At 39.6% G+C, this 22,801-nt stretch overlaps 1 annotated feature.

Annotated features, from left to right (window-relative positions):
- Positions 1–120: a silencer, noted in NCBI's record as "silent region_15525". NCBI's record gives its function as "represses an Ori minimal core promoter by ATAC-STARR-seq in GM12878 lymphoblastoid cells {active_cell/tissue: GM12878}" and the evidence as "EXISTENCE:reporter gene assay evidence [ECO:0000049][PMID:35858748]".

A 22,801-nucleotide genomic window follows, 5' to 3' on the forward strand; every position in this document is an offset into this window, starting at 1 on the left:
TTCTGTTTCCTCACAGATAATTGTCAAAGTTCCTTCTAGTTCAAAGAAGTTTCTGAGTCTGCAGACAAGCAGCTGTTGGAACCGTCCACATCAGGAAACAAGTGTTAGCTCTACCAGTCACAAAGCTGGGTGATTTGTGCACCTTAGCTTCTCCGTCCTTTTCTTCCTTCAGAGGTTTATGTGAGGCTTTAGCCATTGCCAGTTTTCAAAGAAATGGCATTTTTATAGGCTCCTGCAGCAAGACAATGTTTGTTTTTTTTCCCATTAAGTTGGGGCGCAAAACTCTTAGCCAGAGGAAAAAGTGGTTCCCTAAAAAAGTGAAATTCATGCTTTACAGGGGTTATGAAAAAATCTTTGGCTAACCAAGTATTCTCTAGCATAAAAGTACCAAAACCAACCAAGCAACCAAACAAAAAGCCGGGTACAATCAGAGAAGAAAGCAAGGCTGCCATGGTGAGCAGAGCTCTGGCCTGAGAACCAAAGCCCTGGGTCCCAGCCTGTTTCTGCAGTTAGTCGGCCAGGTGACCTTGGGTAATCACTCATTTCTTTCTATATGTAATAATAAAGGATCTCCAGACTCCTGTCTAGCACTAGCTAATATTTCATCACTATGACTCCATCAGAGTTAACTGACAGGGTTGTTTTTTACAGGCTTTAAGTGGCAGTTCTCTTAATTTGCAGAGTAGGGGAAATATAATAAAGAGGGAAATGTTTACAGGGGAGCCCAGCCCACACTAATCTTCTGAATTGGTAATAAATTTTGATCCTAAAGGAGGAATAAAAGAAAGAACTAGATTTATAATCATTTAACAAGCAAACATTATATGATTTATCAGAAGAACAGGTAGTCTAGTATCTAGTATCTTTTCCTGCCCATCCTCGGGGATTTTCTGTTTCAACTAAGGAGAGCTGATCTCTGCCATATTTCTCCCAGTTCTGTTGCAATGTATCCAAGGCAGGGCTGAGATCAGCCAGAGGTCTGCCAAATAGAGTGTAGGTACCAAAGTTTGCCCATGGATTGATGTATCATTGGTTTCAAAAACCAGGTCCTCCTCCCATCCCAGCACCTTGGGATGACAGGTGCCTGCTGTTCCCAAGTCTCTGGCTTCAGCAGAAGAGACAAAGAGTCCAGCTTCCAGGCCCCTCCTTTTCCTAGATTCCCACCATCATCCTTCCTCAGCCTGGCCCACTCTTGCATGTGAGCAGAGATGGCTCCAAGATTGGCTTTGGTAAATATACAATCTAAATAAGAACATAAGCTTCAATACAGGTTCCTAGGGAGCCCCTACCCCACTTTAAGAACATATTATCTTTACCACATAGAGATTCTATGATGGTCAGAACTTGTGAAAGCCCACCCCCAGCCTCAGAAGGGCATGCCAGAAGAATGGGTCATGAAGGTGCCCTGTTCGAATCTCCCTGTGGGAGGGCCTATTGTGTGGGGCATAGTTGATTCATAGTCTTCAGCTGTTGTACCTTGGATTGACTGCAGCGTTCACTTCCAGGTCACACTTCCCCAGGCTGCCCCAGTCAATGACTGAGTACAGTGGTGGGTGCTAGAGCTGGGCCATTCCTGCCTAAAGGGGGATTCCTCAAATGGGTGCCTTTGGTTCAGGGACTCTCCATCAGGCTGGCCACAACTCTCAGAACTGCACTTTGGTCTGAAGCACTTTCTACTCAATCCTTTCTTCTGTTTCTCCTTTCATAGGTCTCAGAGCTGCATCATGGGCTGCAGGCTTCCTCCACCTCCTCCAGCTCCCTCCACTTTGTCCTTTATCTTTCACAGGCTCTTCTCTTAGTAAACCACTTGCACTTCTAATTCCAGTTGGCATCTGTCTCTTACAGAAGCAGGGTATGATGCTTTTAAGTCTGTATGCCTGGCCCACTGTATTAGCCAGGGTTCAGAGAAACAGAAGCAATATGATATATCTGTATATGTAGATATAGCCTATAGATATATAGATATATCTATATGTGCAGATATGTAGATATAGCCTATCAGTCTACAGGATATACATATAGACATACATATAGACACACACACACACACACACACACACACACACATACACACACTATAAGGAATTGGATCATGCAATTACAAAAGCTGAAAACTCCCTAGATCTGTATTCAGTAAGCTGGAGACCCAGGAGGGCCAATGTGTAGTTCCGGTCCAAAAGCCACCAGGCTCAAGACCCAAAAGGAGCTTGTGTTTCAGTCCAATTCTGAAAGTCAGAAGGGACTAATGTTCCAGCTCAAGGCAGTAGGTGAGAGGAGTTCCCTCCCACTCCTGGGAGGGTCAGCCCTTTTGTTCTAGTCAGGCCTTCAACTGATTAAATGAGGCCCACCCACAACAGGGAGGGCAATCTGATTCCCTCAGTCTATCAATCAGTTCAAATGTTAATCTCATCCCCAAACACTCACAGACCCATCCAGAATAATGCTTGGCCAGAAATCTGGGAAACCATGCCCCATTCAAGGTAATGCAGAAAATTAATCATCACACTCACCTAGTGCAGCAGTTAATCAGTTAAATCACTTCTGCTGAAGTCATGCATACCAGTCAAGTTCTCATACTGCAAGAGGCATTTATGTTTACATCTGTCTCTAAAAAGTCTGTGAATGCCTGGAAGGTGGGAATCATGTCTTATTCATTTTTAGATCCTAAATACAGAGTGGAAGTTCAATAACTTATATTTATTGAGTTTCTCCTATGTGCCATGCACAAGGTGCTAGGGGTATAGCAATAAATGAAACAGGCCAGGTCCTTGTCCTCAGAGACCTACATTTAGGTAACAGAGAGAAACAAAAATAAAACAATTGAACATACAATATAATGGACTGGTGATACGTGTGACAAGAGGAGAATAAAGCCTGGCAAGGGGATAGAAAAGAATAGAGAAGTATCATTTTACATAGGTGTTCAGAGAAGGCTTGAATGAATAACTGAATAGATGACAGAAATTATTAATGCAGGTATCAGCAAAGTTGTTCAAGTGTGTTGGGGTAAGCAGAATTCAGAGGCACACAGAACAGAAGAAAGGCCTCCTCCCCACACCAGGGAATCAGCTCAACTAAATTGTTACTTCTCCCAGCTGTGGCTTTATACTGTTCTTCTTTGCCTTCCTCACTTCTATTTTAACAACTTTTTTTTCTTTTTAACAGAGTGGGCACAGAGTGCCTTTTTAAAGGGACTTCCTTACTGCAGTAAGTTTTAAGTCAATGTTATTGCTACACTGACCTTCTTCAACATGAGGGCTTAGGGCCAGTTTCCACTTCTGAAGAAATTCCTCTAAAAGTAGTACTCTGGAGACACTTCAGTAAATGAAGATAGACTTGGCAAAGAAATTCCAAGCCTACAGGCAGATAATTAAGAGAGATTTTCAAAGCCGAGGGGGAAATCAAAGACCATTATGTATGTATGGTTTGCACTAAACCACTTTTATTACAAATTGAGCTCCATACAGCTGTGCAGCAATTGAAGAGGAGACTATACAGCCAGTGAAGGAATGACAGCCATGTGGATGCCAATTTTCTAGTAGTAGCCTACAGAAGCCACACGTAAGTTAGGTTTCACAGCTTGTCATGAGTAATTTCAAAAACCAAAGTAGATGATGTTATTACAGGTCTAAGAAGAAAATGATGATGTAGCAAATGAGGGGGAAAAAAATCAAAATTTCCCATTCCCTCTTAGACCTCCCTACTCAATTCCTTCCTCTCAACAGGGATGTGGTAAAATGAATAAGATTTTGTGTAGAGCCATCTGAAGTGTTTGAGAGGTTTAGTGGAAGAGTCTGGGCTTCGGAACCAGGCAATAGAAATACAATTTATTTCACCCACTTATGAGCTGTGTAGTCCCAGGCAAGTTATTGAGTCTCTCAAGCTCCACTTCTCTTGACTATAAAATACCTACTGGAGTTGTCATGGTGATCACGTGAGACAGGGCAAGAAAAGTGCCTGGCACAGATAGGTGCTCAATGAACAATTTGTTTTCTTGGGAAGGAAGTTACTTAAGAAATCCAAATTAGCATTTGTCACAGTTTCTCATCAAGAACAGGGATTACAAAATCAAGTATCTCTGGTAAGCCTAGTAAGCCTACAGAAGAATTTGTGGTTTGTATTGGGAGGAAACAACTGTGGCAAACTGGAGGGCCCGTATCTACCCAAAGACGGCAACTAAAGGATTTATGCCTGATAAAAGGGGATCCCATCTCTCCTTTGAAAGGTGGCTACTGGAAGCCTTGCCTCATAGAGAGGGGACAGTTGCTGCTAGCTCCTCTCTGGGGATAGTACAGACCCCATACTGGGAGATTTTTTTTAAAAAAGAATCTCCAAATCCATATTTCTATGTGAAACTTCCAGGTCACATACAGTGGTTCCTAATTCAATTAATAAAAAACATGTAACTGAGCATGGTGGCTCTCTCCTGTAATCCCAGGGCTTTGGGAGGCTGAGGTGGGATAATCAGTTGAGGCCAGGAGTTCAAGAACACCCTGGGTAACATAGCAAGACCCTATCTGTAAAAAGAAAAAAAAAATAGCTGGATGTGGTTGTGCATGCCCGTAGTCCCAGCTGCTGGCGAGGCTGAGGTAGGAGGCTCACTTGTGCCCACGAAGTCGAGCTGTGACCACACCACTGCACTCCAGCCCGGGTGACAGAACGAAACCCTGTCTAAAAAAAAAAAAGAAAAAAGAAAAAAAAAACAAAAACAGGCAGACCACAAAAGTATCTGGGCAGGCATGATGTGGCCTATGGGCTACCAGTTTGCAACTTCTGGAAAAGGAACATTTCGTGATTACATTTTCATTCATTGTATAATAAAATATTTTAGTTTAAAAATAATTCTTCAAATAATTCCACCAAGAGCAAAGAAGCCAACATACAAATAAATTTCTTCTTGTATATTTCTATTTCTAGGACATCAAGGACCCAAAATAAACTTTAAAACCTATGAAGGAGTTTGTTGGTATTTATTCCTCAGGGGTCAGCTGATTGCTGATGGGCAGAGAGTTCAATAGTAATGCATAGGAAAAGACAAATTGATCCCTGCTGATAAAGCTGTTTTCTGTGTATGTGCTCATAAAATGTGATGTCCCCACCCTGCCCCGGATTCTATTGGTAGCACAGAGGGGTCAAAGCATTAATGAATAGTCCATGAGATTGTTTCCTTCAGATTTTAAGAGAGAGGGCAGAAAGACCTTAGAAGAAATTATTTCATGTTTAGAAAAATCTTCCTATTGGCTCCAGATTAGCTTCACAATGACAAAGAATGTTCCAGAGAAGAGCTGACTGGAAACTATCAGTGGCTGAAAAGTATTAAGCCACCAATATTTTAATTAACTTGTTCCACTCCATTTCTGGGCTTACCACAGAGGAAGAAAAGAAATTGTATTTCAATATAAAAAGTCACAGTAAATGTTAAGCTCCATGTTTGATTGACAGTCACCCACACACCCACATACACTAAAACTAGCAGCTATAAATTTGAAGCATTTGTAAGACCCAGGGGATTTCTAGAGTGTGTGACAATCCAGATATATGTGCCTCGTTTACCCACAGAAGCGGTCTCCTGTGGGGGAAATGTACTGTGACATCCATTTTGATAGGTAACAGGCACATTAAGATGGAATTACCTCAGCTGGAATATGACTGTGATAACAGGAATAGAGAAACACTGGACCAGAAAAACTACGGGGCATCCTTAGGGAACATGCTCAGTTCCCTTAAAAACATGTACAGTCATTTGTTCAGAATTGGCTGGGGGGAGTTGAAATGATCAATACCTCTTCCCAAGGTATCCGTGTATTCTGCAGACATATCTTCGGCAAATAATTGCTCAAAATATAACTGTCCAAGCAGTATTTGGCAAGTATTGGATCTGAAGTCTGATTCACTTCATAAATTTGCAACCTTAGTGACATGCAACACAAGCTAATTCACTATTCTTCTGCTTATTTTTCCATATATCCAATACTGAATAGTAAACAAAGTCTGTAAAGAGGGGCCTGAAGATGTTCATATTTATACCTATTCTAGGCACAATAGGATTTCTTTCCTTCTTAAAATATTAGGATAGGAACCAACAATAAGGATATATGGAAAGGAACAAAAAAATTATTCTACCCAAATGATGTTTCAGGAATATGCTGTAATTTTTTTAATTCTCACTTATTACTGGCAAAAGGCATATTTTGGAAGTTGCAAAAGTCAGAACCTGAGACACATAAATGATAAAAAGGTGTTATTGGTAAAGTATACTGAGACCATTGAGAGGCAGGTACTAAAATAAAATAGCACTCCTGTGAAGCGACATACAAATAGAATTTCTATTTAAAAAACAAATCCTCAGTCACTTCCCTTGTTTGCCAGACTTTTACAAATCCTCAGTTACTTCCCTTGTTTGCCAGACTTTTTCTTTCTCATGACTCCCTGTCTCTAATGTTATAATGGCCCCAATAATTAAAGCATTTGACCTCAGGAATCTACCCATTTGGATGGTGAGTATATTTCAATTATTATATTGAATTAAACTTTAGTTTGAGAAAGGCTTTCTGGGAAAGATGAGTCAAATTTAAGTAAGTATAAATTGGTCTTTTGGCCACCATGTTTCTTGGGATTATAATGTTCCCAAGATATTTAATAATCTCATTTGGGTCAACACTGCAATTGACTTGAATGGCAGAACTCCAAGGGAAGGTGCTATGCTGGGTTGGGCACTTAATGATGCTGCAGCTGTGTTTTCCCTCGAGAGAGTGGTCCATTATGGAAATGGAATCTCCAGAGTGGGATTTAAGTAGGGGTAGTCAAGACAACACTTTGCAATGTCAGTGAAGATCTGATTGACCGTTTGGGTGGAAGACAGGACACACACTGTAGCTGGGATAGTGGTAACATCCATTTCAGTGCAGATTACTGCATTCTCTCAAATTCCTGCTGTCATTCCAATTAAAATCAATAGTCTTCTTTCTTACCAATTCTCTCAAATGTGTAGGTTGCTGCAACCTGCCAAGAATGTATTAGATTTCCTTAATAAAGATAGATACATCACAGCAGTGGGTTAAGTGATACGGCTAACAGTTAATTCTTGCTTCATTAAGCCAAACCAAATAATTCTCATTTAAATGAAGAAACCCATCCTGCTTCCCGGTAACTATTTGGTATTGAAGCAGCAATGAAAACTCAGGCCATGTAAGCTTCACTTCTCTTTAGGGACTCCTAGGGCATTTCCACTAGTACCCCATGGAGAATGATAAACATTCAAAACAAAGTGATACTTGTCCAAGGAAATGCATAAAATAAGCTTTGTGAAACCTCTTCCTAGAGTTTGTGTTTTTAAAAAAATGTGTGTGTTCACTCTCTTGTTCAATCATGAAAATGTGAGAATCCTCCATGGGCCTCCCAGACATTAGTATGAATTAGAAAATCCTACTGAATAATCTCCACAAATCATCTCGTGCAAAGTGCCTGGGCTTTACAGACTAAGTGCACATTATACATATAAATCATTATCACTTTGGGGTTGATTAGAAAAGGGCAGGTATTTTGCAGTCCCGGCAGTGTGTGTATGCCTGTAGCAACTGATTAGCTATTTCAAATTAATAGCTTGAAATTAAAACAAGCCTGGGGTTAGAATAAAGGGAAATGGTTTTTCTATGTAAGGAAAGCTTCAGCCTCCTCAGAAAGCCCCCCCCTCCTCCCCCTCCCCCTTTCCCTTCCTCTTATTATGCAGCCTCCGAATGATGTCTGTCAGCTAGAGGAATTACATGTGTATGACTTAGCATGTGAGTTTCCAGATCTCACAGGCAGGAGAAATGATGGGAATAACTGGAAACAACCAAGATGTCAATAAAATGTATTTTTCTGTAGTCATCCCACAAAAAGGCCTTGAAAGTTTCTCAGGGGGAGTTTTCCTCCTGTGAGACAGGATGAACCCTCCCTCCCTCTGCTATAGCTCAGGAGATGCGGTTGGCCTCCCCCCAGCATGCCCACTACACAACACAGGTGTCCCCCATTCAGTGAGAAACCAAAGAGAAAGAAAAAGCTTAACAGAGAAAAAGATATTAAACAAATACTCTGTTTCCAGGGCAGCTGGGGGCACAGGAACAGGGAGAATGGGTAATGTGGTTGAGGTTTATAGGTAGAAAAAGGAACTGGGTTTTAATGAAAAAATTTTTTTTAATTTGCTTTTTTGCCATTTTGCCTTCTTAGTATACTGGGCCTAGGTTTTGTTTTGGAAAGTATTAGAAATCAAACTTGCACTATCTTACTTTGTCTTCTAAAGTTAAGCAAGAGAGAAATGAAGAAAAACAATGTGGATCTTTGAAAGACCCTTTTCCAGGCAATAGAAAATATACTTTGATATTCTTGCTGCCTCTCCAAAAAGTCTGGGAGCCTGAAGTTTGTCTAAACTCAGGATTTCTTAGTTAACTAACCTGGGCAAGGTTTTTATTTCCCTACTGACTTCATTTCCCTGATGATTCCCCTTATGTTTCCATATTTTATTTGATAATGATAAGCTGTCTTCTATGCAATTTTAATTTTATTTTAAAAGAAAGATGATAATGCCATTTTATAGGCAAAACTAATTTTTTCATGAAATTACCCACTAAGAATGCATAGTAACATACTCCTCAGTCTTAAAGATTGCTACCATTGCAAAATATTGAGTAAAAAGAGGGGAAAAAAAGAAATGCTTTGACATCAAACATCTGTTTTCAGATTCCAGCTCTGCCACACACTAGCCATGTGGCACTGGGCAAGTAACTTAGCTTTTGTGAACATCTGCTTCTTCATCTCTAAAAGGTAAGGTTAATAATAAATGCTTGGCAGCATTTTGTGAGGATTACTTTAGATAACAAATACCCATCATGGCAGATAGTATGTATCCATTTCCTTCATTCTCTGCCTCCCAATTTGAAAGTGCTTTCTGGAGATTCAGTCTAATTGGTATCCACAGTCCAGTCAGCTCTGTGGTAGGCATTAGGAGAAATGACAAGGAAGCAAAAAACCAAACCTAGGTCTCAAAAGAACAGTCCTTTGTTTGAGCAGACAAGATGTATGAATAAAATGCAACTGGGAAGCAAGTAGAGCACATACAGACAAGTTATTAGATGTTATGGTATAAACAGCAGATGCCAAGAAAGATTATGGGAATGAGATGGGTTTTATTTAGGTTTTTTTGATACACAGAATTTTAATTGGCATAAGCAAAACAGACCACTTTAAAAACAAATAAACTCAGGAGACTTCTTTAACTGAAAGAATATAGGTTAAGATTTGAAGGTAGAAATGAACAGAGCATATGTCTTCAAGAAACTGACCTACTTGGAATAGAGAGCTTCATTGGGGAAAATGGCTCAAAAAGAGTATATTGGGACCAGTCAACAAAGAGCCTTGAAGATTATCCTAACTAATAACATCTGATTTATGAGCCCTTCAGAAAAAGAACGACAGCAGAATTTTGGAGAGGTTATTGCTATCTAGGATGGACTGGAGACAAATTTTGGGTCAGAAACTCTGCTAGGGTCATGTGCATGGAGGTGAGTTAAGCTGTTTTGTGCTACTTGGATGCTTCTTTCTACAGTGTATGTTTCAAGCCATAGGCTCATTGTTTCACCAATTTTTCTATATAGATGGTTTGATCCATGTTCACTAAACTCAGGAGAGACTGGCTTATAAAAGCTAATTTAATAATATAGAAAATTACACATAATTATTAAGAGTAATGGGGTGTACATATATTAGGGAATTTAGCCTATCTAGTTTCTGTAACAAGAAACCCTTCTGGAAAAGTAAACCAGTATCAGAAAGCTCATTAGTCATTCAAGTTTATTGGTCATTCATCAACTTATCAAATATTAACTAAGCACCTACTATGTGATAAACAGCATGGGGGCGCTGAGACCTGCAAGTGGTTTAGTGATGCTGAAGGGGGAAGGAGTGGCATTAGGGAGTGAGCAGAGGGGAGGGCAGGAGCCAGGACACAGAGGGCCACATATTTCCTGGTGAGGGAACTTGGACATGTTTCTCTTACTGACAACCAGTAGTGAAATGTCTTGGTACATTTAGAAAAAAAAAAATTATTTTAACTTTTTTTTTGGGGGGATAGGGTCTCACTCTGTCATTCAAGCAATTTTTCCACCTCAGCCTCCTGAGTAGCTGGAACTACAGGGATGCACCACCACACCTGGCTAATTTTTGTATTTTTTGGTAGAGATGGGTTTTCACCATGTTGGCCAGGCTGGTCTTGAATTCCTGACCTCAAGTGATCCGCCCATCTTGGCCTCCCAAAATGCTGGGATTACAGGCTTGAGCCACCGTGCCTGGCCTATTTTAACTTCTAAATATGTTACTATTTAACTTGATATAGTATTGACTAAATAGTCAGTATTTTATGCACCACAGAATACATGTGTTTGCCCCAATAATGCTACTGGTTTGAAATAAAAGTATATAGAAAACACATGAAAGTCAGATGTAACAACCTATAGGAAGCTAAGCGTTGGTTACAAAAATGAACTGAAGGCTGATATCACTAATATCCATAAGAGTCATTTATATAAATAAAATATTAGATTGTTATTTTTCAAATCAGGGAATAAATTAATTTCAAAATAGTAGGAAAAAAAGCATGAAATCAAATAAAATCATTATTGGGGAGAACCATCATCATAAAATTGAGTAAGCATATCTACTAGAGAGTTCTAAAATTAATACATTCCAAATTAAGCCTCATTACAAATTTGCAATTTAATTTTTTGATAGCTAACCCATTTACATGGCTCAAAATCAAAACAACGTGAAAAGTATAAATGGTGAAAAAAAGCTCCTACCCCTGTCCCCAGCCCTTTTGATACCATTTTATTAATTATTGCTGTACTATTCTGATCTTTGTGTATACCCCAAATAGGTTTTTGGTAAATATGAAATTTAATTCGGAATAAAAAAAAAAAAGAGAAGGAAGCAAATCAACACTCACTGGGCAACCACTACTTGCCAGACACCGTAAGGTGTTTTCCGATAAGTTAGGTTACTGATTCCTCATAGCAACTCTATAAGGTTGGTCTACCACAAGATGAAATGTCACGGCAGGCGGCCGAAAACCCCACCTCTTTGCATTGTGTGTTAGAAGTAGTACTTTCTCTGCATTTTCCTGCCTCTAGAGTCACATTGGACATACCTTTTGATTTCTGTATTTTAACTAATTGCACCACTTTCACAAGAGCTTTAAAGTATCCACCTTTCAGGGCTGTTTTGAGGATTGAGTTGCTAAGTACATGGCATATAGTAAGAGTTCTATAAATGGAAGCTATCATTATTATAATGCCTCTGGGAGAACTTCGTATACGTCAGGCTAAGCTCATTCAATATGTATTGATTTCCGTTTAACTCACGGGGATGGCCCCCTTTTTTGTTTTAGTCTATTCTGATGCCAATTTTATTCTTGGGTGAATAACAACCATATAGATATAAATAAATCTAGGTATTAGGTGACTAGATCCTCTCTTGGACAGCCAAGTTCAAGGCCTAGGAATAAAAATGACCACATTCACCCTATCTCAAGGGTCAGCAAGCTTCTATAAAGGGCCAGATAGAAATATTTGAGGCTTTGTGGGTCTTTGTCAAAACTACTCAACTCTGCATTGTAGTGCCAAGCAGCCATATAAATGAATGAGTGTGGCCGTGTTCCAATAAAATTTTATTATAGACACTGACATTTGAATTTCATATAACTTACATGTGTCTGATATGGTTTGGATGTCTGTCCCTTCCAAATCTCATGCTGACATGTGATCCTCAGTGTTGAAGGTGGGGCCCAATAGGAGGTGTTTGGGTCATGGGGGTGGATCCCTCTTGAATGGCTTGCTGCTGTCCTTGTGATAGTGAGTTCTTGTGAGATCTGATTGTTTAAAAATGTGTGGCACCTCCCTCTTTGCTCTCTTGCTCCCATCATCGCCATGTGATATGCTGGCTCTCCTTCACTTGCTGCACTGATTGGAAGCTTCCTGAGGCCTTGCCAGAAGCAGATGCCAGCACTATGCTTCAGGTACATACAGCCTGTAGAACTGTGAGCCAATGAAACCTCTTTTCTTTATAAATTACTCAGTCTCAGGTATTATTTTATAGCAAATACAAAATGGACTAATACAGTGCCACAAAATGTTATTATTCTTTTGATTTTTTCCCCAATCATATAGAAATACAAAAATCATTCTTAGCTCATGGGCCATGCAAAAGAAGGTGGTGGGCTAGATTTGGCCTCTGGGGCATAGTTTGCCAATTCCTACTCTAAATGATAATTTGATAATCTGGTCAATCAACTCACTCCCTCCCCCCACACTCCAACCCCCCAACTATCATGAGCAAGCAGAGAGGGAAAACTAAAGGTCCACTTGGAAGGAATATTCCTACTTACCCAGGGAGCTACAATTTTCTTTCTCTTAAATGCAGCTTAGAGTTTGGTAAATATGAGTTAACAATTCATATACAAATTTGAGTTGCACTGATATCAACTAAATGACCTTAGTGCTGAAAAAAATAGTGGAAAATATTTCTAGCTGCTAAGAAATCAAGCAACATTGGAATCTGAAAGCATGTAATAATTTCATTTGAAAACCAAACTTCAGAATAAGTTAAAGTATTCTTGCTACTGGTGTCCCTTACAGGCAGGGGGTTTCATGCCATTGAACACACAGGGGAATCCTTGATGCTGCAGGGATCTCAGGAACACCTGGGATTGGCCTCCTTGGGGGATCTGCATTGGCTGAGAGCCTAGAGGTCAGACTTCTTGGGGACACAGACAGCCACTGCCTCTTCGATGGAATGCTGGGCCACATGCAGCCTCTGTCCTCTCCTAAATCTTCAGCAGTGGCATTTTCATGGCCTGCCTCCAAACCTCATCTCTCCCTTCCCCACTACCATGATTTCCTTAAAAGCACAGGCCTCAAGAAACAAAGGTCAGGAAGGTAAGTTGCCTGTAGAAAACATTTGCTTTCTTCAAACATCCATCTCCTGAGACAAAGGAGCCCCCAAATCTTGCTAATTGCTTGGAAATGGTTAGGGAAAAATACCTTAATAATTCCATAAATTATCCTACAACACAAGCATCTCTTAATCATCTGGGAAGCTGGCCATACTAAAGGGGCAAATAGTCAGCTCCAGTTCACTCAGGAAAATTCCATCTGCTTCTGTGGGTTTTTGACAGTTACGGAGTCTTTGAAACAAGACCTGGAATGCTGGATTGATAAGGGAATACTTTTAGAATTTATTTTAGAATCTTTATTGTTAGCACAGAAACTAGCCTTTTACAGTGCTCAAAAAAACGTCTTAATGCTGGAATTTTGCTGAAGAAGTATTTGGGGTTAAAGCATTACAATTGGCAAGCGATGAGTGGGAAGTAGGGAATGAACAAAAGCATAAAGAAGTGAAGGCATCAGATATTTTAAGCCCTAGAAAAGGAAGAACCTGTCTATCTTATTCTCCATGAAGTTCTTCACCACCAGCCCTTGGAAGAGTACCTGGCTCAGAGAATGTTTGTTTAGTGAATGCATGTAGAGAGGAATAAGAATAGAAGACAAGGCCTCTCAGTCAGGACTCAGCAGAAAACAATTTCCACCCAGATAATTCAAGAGAAGGGACTTTAATGAAAGGATGACTTAAAGAGGTAAGACAGGGTTAAGGGAAGAAATAAGACATGCTGAAGCACCCAGACGCCAGCGACAGGAAGCTAATACCACTGCTAAGGCTGAAAGGGCAGGAGCAGCTCCTTGGCAAAAAAAAAAAAAAAAAAAAAAAATTGCAGCCAGCGCCAGAGAAGTGCATTGAAATAGAGCATGAGGAAGAGAGCCCCTGGCCTCTCTCCTCTTGCCCTTCATTCTCCTGCCAGTGCCTCCCAATGACCAACTCTACCTAGAATCCGGAGAGCCTGGAAGCAGGGCAGAGAAGACTGGAGGATGCATCTGAGAATGCGAGCAAAGAAAATCACTAGCCTATGGGGTGAACTGGAATGGAAAGCTGGTTTTAAAAAAACCCTATGCCTTCATTCATTCCCTGCTCCCCAAAGATATGCGCTGGCCCACTCATCTCTTGTCAATTGCATTGATAAGCTATTAGCTGAAGGTAGCTACTAGCTATTGGAGGTTTTAGATGAGGAAGTGGCAAAATATAAAGCTTTGGAAAGCTTTGCCTATGTTTACATTCCAGCTCTGCCACTCCTTAACTGCAAATATAGGCTAGTTACTTAATTTCTGTGCCTCAATTTTCTTTTCTATAAAATGAGGGAAGTTATGGTAGCTACCGCATAGCATTCTTATACGAATCAAATAAGATAATCTAAGTAAAGTGCTTAGGTCTGATAGTGTTTCTTTTTTTAAAGCTTATCTTAAATAAAGATTTCAGTAAATTTGTCTTATATTATATAATTTACTATCAAGTCAATGTTACAGCAAGGTTTTAGTGAATCTGGCAATCATGAAGACGAGAGTCTTCTCATGAGTACATGGCCATGCAATTTCACTCTGCTTTGGTCTACCCAGGCTAAGTAGTTCCCTTTCTTAGGCATCGATTTCTTTCTCCTTTAAGTCATACTAGAATATCATAGAGGCTTTAGGTAACGCTGGTGAATTCCACCTACATGCGGTCTCAACATACAGCTGTGATTTAGCTACCAGTGCATTTCTGAAAATTGCTTCCTTAGCATTTCAGCGTGTTATTTGAAAGAGCAACTGAAGTAGAAAGAAAATCAAGCAACAACAGGAGGGACTCGTTTTTAAACTCATTACTTTGCAAGCTGAAAAATTTGCTTAGATCAGTTGGGGTTTCAAATGTAAAAATTGACTTCTGATACAAAAGCCAGTAGCTACAGTTTGAAAGTCTGAAGCACATTTTCCCCACTCACTTCCTTATTTTTCCAACAAGAGTTTCATATGCCTTTTTAATAGGTGAGATGTGCAACCCATGGAATGCAGAGTATTCCTGTTTATATCATTATTAAAATGTAAACAGAAATACACTTTATGGAAAAACTGGGGCTAATCATGATTTTTATGCCCCTCCCCCATTTCTAATTTTTAAATAAAATTGGTATATGGGAAACATTATTCTGACTGAGTTCTTGTTGAATATTTGTTGAAAATTTCTACAATTTTAAATGCATTTACAATTCTGAAACACCAATTTAACTTGAGAGGCTAAGTAACAAGAAGATATCAAGTTAAAATATCATTTTGATACCCGAGCTTTGTGGCTATTTCAATATGTAAGTGAGCCTTCATGATGGTTCTTAAAAGTAAGTTATTATCATAATATATGCTTTATCTAGTAAATTCTTCTCTCCGGACTTAGTTTTTTTTAATGTACTTAAAAAATAGCATCTTTTGGGTTATGAAAGCCCTTAAACAATGATTTTCAAGGACTTCTGTCATTGCTTAATAATATTCAAAACCTATAGACAAACTTCGGAATTACATGTTAAAAATTGTACAGGTTGAGTATCGCTTATCTGAAATGTTTCAGAAAAGAAACATTTCAGATTTTTGAATTTTTTCAGGTTTTGGAATATTTGCATATACATAATGAGATATCTCAAGGATGGGACCCAATTCTATGATAAACACAAAATTTATTGATGTCTTATATACGCCACATACACGTAGTCTGAAGGTAATTTTACACAACATTTTAAAACAATTTTGTGTATGAAACAGTTTTGACGTAGTTTGCACTGGGACTCATCATATGAGATCAGGCATAGAATTTTCCACTTGTAGCATTATGTTGGCACTCAAAAAGTTCTGGATTTTGGAGCATTTTGGATTTGAATTTTCAGATTAGGATGTTCAACCTGTATATGCAACCTGTATTTAATCACAACTATGCTTTTTTAAAAAAGCAGCAAACCCATTGCAAAGAAAGATGAAAGGAAATTCACCAAACTCTTAATAATAGTTATATATGATAGACAGGAATAAAACAAAGGTTTTAAAGCAATGCAAATCTCTATTAAGAAATTCCTGATCCATTTTTTATACCTCTTTCAGAATATGGTGTCAGAGGTTGTAAGGAAGAGCAGGTTGTAAGGAAGGGCAGGTTGTAATCCTGGCTCCATCACTTACTGTGTGACCTGAACAAGTACAAAAGTCTCCTTGTGCCCTGGTTCAATTATCTGTAGAAATGAGATAATAATAATACTTACTTTGCAGAGTTGTTGTGAGATTAAATGAGCTAATGCACGCAAATTACTTAGAACAGTGGCAGGAACTCACTTGAAATAAGTGAGAGCTATTATTTTGTTATTTGTAATGAATCTGCTTACAATTCCAACTCTACCAGTGGAATGTGACCTCTTGAGGGTAGTGATCACCTGTTTATTTATCTTCTGTAGCCCTGGACCCTAAGACCATGTCTAGCAAATAAGAAATGCTCAGTAAAGAGTTGTGACTACATTAATGAATGAATTCCCCATGGCAAAGTGATAGAGAGTTTCACTGACTATTTCATCAGTAATGATCTAATGGTGGCTGCCTGCCACTAGTCTCTGACCCTTCTTTCTCTTAGCATTCACGATACTTAGCTTCTGCTCTGAAAGTGTTCCAAGCCTATCTGCACTGATCCAGGCCACTAGCAAATGGTTCAACTGATGAGAACACATCTATAGACCAACAAAGAGCACTTAAGAGGAAGAGTGTTACTCTAAAATATATCAATCTATAGTGTTAGAAACTTTAATCACCTTCCAGATTCTCGTATGGATCATAAACACTAAATCACATCAGTTCAATAGAGTCAAAAGGCACTTCATCCATGTGTAAAAATCAAGGTTTATAAGGCAGTCAGTATTTTTCTTTGGTACCACTCTCACCTTCAGCAGCTGCAGCCCAAAGCTATTGGGCAAAACTGAACTCGCCTCAAAAAATCTTCTGGGAAGACTAGGAGTCTACACAAATGACTGGACTACACCTTCGTAGAGAACAAGTTTGCTCTTCTGAATTTTCTTCAAACTTCATTTTTCCTTGATTTTTAAAACAGATAGCATTTTGTAAAACTGTAATATGCTGAAGACCTATTCAGAATTTCTTGTGATGAAACAAAAATTGTCATATTAAGTTAATGTTCAATTAATATAGGGTAATAGCTAATATTTGTCTCCCCTTACAAGGTTAGTCAATAATAGAAAACAATCTCCTCAGTTTCCTCTGTGCATGTTTCCACTCCAGTTCTTCCTCTCCTGCTTATGCAGAGGCTGTTCTTAAAAAATACTAAACACACACACACACACACACACACACACACACACACATGCCACACCTATATCTTTAGTAGTTTGAGTAAAGAAGATGTGTATTATCATATCCCTTTTCTAAGATCAGGCACCCAAAAGGAGTTAATAAATCACCTTGGAAAAGTACCTTAAAAATCTTCAAAGGGCTGTACCCTAGCATCCCTAACTGCCCTTTATTAACCCACTATGGGTTATTACTTCATTAAATGAAACTACTAAAATACCCAGGGGATGAGGTGGAAGAAACGGGTAGGATGGAATTAGTAAGTACTGAGTAAATGTGGTGTAATGGAGGGAGTTCAGTACAGGAGAAAAGGGTGAGTGACTAGCTCACACTGACTAGTATTTATATAATGTCCAATAATTTACAAGGTGCTCTTACATAAGGGAGGAGAACCAAAAGACACAGTGGAGGAGATGGTAGTCAGTCAATTAGACTAGGTACGGAGGCTTCACTAACACATATTTTCTTTAGACCTTAAAATTACCTTACTTTAAGTTCCATGGAGATAATGGAATCCATGATGACTACAGGGATACGTACATATGCTTTTAATTATTTTGAAATGTTAAATAGGTGGGTCAAAATCTGGCCTAAAGTTTTGCAAGCTTTGACACTGTAACTCCTGTTACTCGAATGGACAAAAAAGTTCATTCTGATAATTTTACCTTTTTTTTTTTTTTTTTTTTTTTTTTAACAGATGGAGATAGGGTCTCACTCTGTCATCCAGGCTGGAGTACTGTGAAATAACCACAGCTCATTACAGCCTCAAACTCCTGGACTCAAGTGATCATCCCACCTCAGCCTCCCAAGGAGCTGGGACCACAGGGGCAAACACCAGGTTCTGCTCTGATAATTCTAAACCTTGATACATAAAGTAGAGTCAGGAGATGGGTTTCTAAGAGCTTTCATTCATCTGATTTCCCAGCACCACGAACATGGCAAATTCAGATTATCGCAGCAGAACTGTAGCACAAGGGCAAGAATGACCAAAGGCCCTTCAAAGCCTGGGGTTGACCAAGAAGAAATTCCTATTTCTGAGCAGTTATTCTGAGGCAGGCTCTGATTCAGTCAACTGGATGAAGAAGTGAGCAGTATTTCCACCCAGAAGACCCAGGCAGCCTTTAACTTCATGACAGCTTGTCTTTCAAACCGCAAACCAGAACATGGCCAAAATCCCATAAGGTGCAGTCCCCCTGCTCTGAGGTATAGCATTATTCTCTACGAAACTTTAGAAGAAGGAAAGTGTGAAAGTCTGAGAGTCTAGCCTACCCCCATCCCAGGAGGCCATTATGGGCCATTTTACTGCAGTTTCTCTTTGTTTTGTTTTTTCCATTTAGCTACAGCATGTAGAGAGAAACCCTATTCAAGAGAGTGGGGTCATTATCCACACACAAAAGGCCATTTAGAGAAAGAACAGTGCAGTCAGTTCAAGCTATGGTTGCCAGAGTCCAGACCTATTGGACAAAAAGGTTAGCTGTTTAAGTGGGAATGTGAAACAAAATGTAGTAATTAGGTCTAACTAGGCACCCTCCCCTCTGCTGAGAAAGCTGCCTGGGATCATAAACTCATTCCCTGAAAGTTCTAAGCTTAGGAGAAAGCAAGTCATCAACACTAAGTGACAGTTCAGTTGTTAACCTTTACCCTAGAGGCTAGGTTTTTTTTCTTTCTTTTTTTTTCTTTTTGGTATGTTTTTTATAGATGTCACTTTTATAAGCTTGAGCTGTTCTTTTTCTAGTTACCACTATTGACAGTTTCAGATCACTGTTGTGTGTGATTGTGTGTTAAAAAAAAAAACACATGAAAAAATATAAATGCTACAATTAACAGTGGTTACCTTTAGTGATGAAATATACGAAATAATTGGGAATTAATTTTTCTCCCTTCAACCTTGTACTTCCTAATTGCTCTTTTATTAACACATAATGTAAATGAGAGGAAAAAAGACACATATATCTCAGGCAAAATTTTCTACCATGTTTCACTTAAATGAGGAAAAAACAATTAGAGTTTTGACAAGAATAATCATGCACAGAAAGGAGGTATAAGCCTCTGAGAAGAGGCAGTGTCATGAAGGTATGAGAACTGATATGAATGTTAACCAGCCTTCACCCTCTTTTCTTCAGCCATTTAGTGGCATCTGCATAAAAGTAATTTCAGACTAACAGATATTTCATAGTTGTCACTAAGACAGCAAGTTCTCAGCATTTAGTATGCTCAGAGGTGTGGTGTTCTGGTTAATAAAGCAATGCTAGGATGAGCACATGCTAGTTATTTAATAGACATTTCCTGTTGGATTGATTGGTTGGAATATTATGGTTGCAAGAGAGTAACCATGTATACAGGGCATGGATAACCAATATTCAATAAATAAAATGTGACCTAAAATGCTTTTGAAAATTTCATGTGTAATAATTCAGAAGGTTCTTTCAGTTTTGCAGAGCCTTGACTAATCATGTTGCATATCAATGATAAAAATAACAGAGAATGGCCAAAGTACAAATTCATAAGGAGTTCCCTTTGCTAGATTACATGACAAATCTGCTTTTTATATGATATTTCTAAAGTGACTTGCAGATAAGATGGAGATAGAAATTAATTGCTTGGGAAATAGAGATTAAGCATTTCACTTACACCTTTATGGACTTTCATTACAATTTGCCTTCAATTTATTGCTTTCATAACAAAGTATTTACTGAGTGCAGGACATTTAATCCAAAAAGCATGTTTACTGTGTTCACATTGCTTCATTACAAATTTAAGAATTATGTGTGGTAAGCGTAGTTCCTTTAAATCTCATGAGACTTCTTTTAAAATTTTTGTGTCGTAAAGTTTTGCCTAGGTGGGAGAAGGAACAAGGGAGACTCTTTACATATATAATTGCCTTTTGCCTTGTGGGAGAAGAGTACATGTAAATGAACAGGCATGGGCAGATCAAGAGTTGAGAAAAGGATACCAATATAATTCATTCAACAAATATGTCTGAATGCCCACTATGTGCCAGGCGCTGCTGTAGGTGTTTGCAATACACAGATTTTACTAGGGGAGAAAGAAAATAAACAATAAGCATTGTCAATATACAAATAATGTTAGAGGATGGTAACAGTTAACGAAAGACACAGCAAGGTCCAGGGGATTAGGAGAGAGGGTTGCTTCTAAGATTTTAAGTAGTATGATTAGTAGACTTCATTGAGGAAACTATTGAGCAAAACCTCGAAGGAGATGAAAGGTTCAGCCCAATGGATAGGGGAAGGAAGGGAGTCATTCCAGGCTACAAAAAAGAGATAACGGAAAGGGGAAAACTATTGGCTGAGGTACATAAAAACAGCTGAGTATGGGAAGAAGACAGGGAGAGTCATTTACAGCAAGGAGGTAGCCAGGAAATTCTTAATATAATGGAACTTTAAAATGCTTAGCTTTAGAAATTGTGATTTGCTAAAATAGTAAAAATAATCTCTTTGCCCCAAATGTGATTAGCATATGGGACATGGCCGCACAAAATAAAGAGATAAATGTGGTCAACTGGAATACACCTGTACCTCTAGTTAGGGACTAACAAATTGAATGTATTCATTCTTTTATCATGTATGTTCTGAGCACCACATATACCAGACACTGTGTTAAGGACTGTGGTGTGGTGCTGAGCAAAACAGACATGATTCCCCTATTCATAGCAGAGACCTACTTCAATTAAGTGATGTATTTATCTTATTACAAGGGCTGTGGAAAATTACACAGAAGTAGGAAAGCATATTACTAAGTTACCTGACCTACTTTGGGAGTCAGGAAAAGTTTCCATCAGAAAGTGATATTTGAGCTGAGATTTGTGGGATGAGTTAACATTAACTAGGAAAAGAGAAAGATTCATCTAGGTCGAGATGGAAGGAAGCATGGAATATTTGAAGAATTGAAAGGTCAGTGGCTCCAGGAGAGAAGAATGGCTCGATCCATCAGGAGCTAGCAGAAAACAGAGGGCACACTCAAATAGGGCAACTGAGGACAGTTTAATAAAGGGGCTCTTTGCAATGATGTCTGAATAGTTAAGGGAAAGGAACAAGGAATGAACAGTACTCCAGGATGAGCAAGAATGGAAAGCTTCTATGCCTAGACATCAAAATGGAAAGCGGGAGCATTTATCAGAGAAAATGGTAATAGGAAAGAGACATCACATGGTAGCTGTGACCTTCTATAAAGAGGTGCAGCCAAAATGTAAGGAGGCTTTTTCCAAAATGTAAATTGTCTCTTACATAAACATTGTTTCTTAAGTAAATATTGTCAAGCTGCCAACCATTTACAAACAAAAATAAAGGGAAATGCGAATACTGATCAAAAATACTTAATGAAATTATATACAAAGAAAGAAAGATAATGAAAAATTAAAAATCTATTTAAAGAATTAGAAATTTGAATATTTCCAGCTTTGTGACTAGAAATGAACTTGGTTTTGGGGATAGTGAGTATTGAAGAAAACCAGCTATAACACTGTCACAGGATCTTTGGGGTGTCACTTTTCTGGCTGGAAACCTCTGTGGCCCATGGCACCTTTGCCCAAGTTTTGCTTGGGCCTGCGGAGCTCATTCTGCCCACTCAGCCTAGCAGAAGTGGTGCTTGGCTAGCACTACTGGCCCGGATCCCATGCCTGTCAAGGGCAAGCCAAGCACAGAGCAGCAAGGGGTGTGTGAGTGAGTGAGCGTGGGATCCAGCTACTGTGCACATTCAGGGATGCTGACTGTGGTGAGGTGGGCACCTCCAGATGCCGGCAGGGGTGTTGGCTCCCTGTGAGGCTGTGGCTGGACCAGTCATATGGCAAGCATCTTCCATGGCTGGCACTGGGGAATGCAGTGTCCTCCAGAAGCTTGGAGGTGCCAGGAAACACAGAGCCTCAAAGAAGGTGCCACAGCTCTGGCTCAGGGAGCTTTTAGATCTGGGCTCTCTGAAGGGCCACAGCAATTCTCTCCTTCTCTCTTCTCTCCTCTCATCACCTGCAACATGGTGAGCAAGGGGACTGTTTCAGCCTTGTTTGTGTTACAGCTCTTTCAGCCCCACCATTCTGCAGTTCCTGAGTTCTTGTTCTGTGTCCAGGAAGAATGAGGAACACAGACAACTGGAGTGTGGGCAAGGTGAAGAGGTGTTTTATTGAGAGATGGAACAGCTCAGAGGAGACCTGCAGTGGGCAGCTCCTCTCTGCAGGCAGGGGCCTCCTGACCAGTGTTCAGCTCTCAGCAGAGAGGAGATCACCAGTGGGTAGCTCCTCTCTGCAGGCAGGTTGTCCCATCATCTGCCCAAGTCTGGCTGAGTCTGGGGTTTTTATGGGCTTCAGAAGGGAAGAAGTATGTGCTGATTGGGTAGCCATGAGAGAGCCAGGGAAAAAGCACCATAATTTCTCACTCTGGTCTGTGGAACTGGCAGCCTGGCCCCCAGGCCTCAAGCCATCCCTGGCCCGAAGGTGGGGTTTCACCAGGGATCTGCCCCTTGCCACCCAGGAGCCTGTCTGCCTCCTGCTGCCATTAACCTGCCATCCA

The sequence above is a fragment of the Homo sapiens genome, chromosome 4, assembly GCF_000001405.40.
Source record: "Homo sapiens chromosome 4, GRCh38.p14 Primary Assembly".
Lineage (NCBI taxonomy): Eukaryota > Metazoa > Chordata > Mammalia > Primates > Hominidae > Homo > Homo sapiens.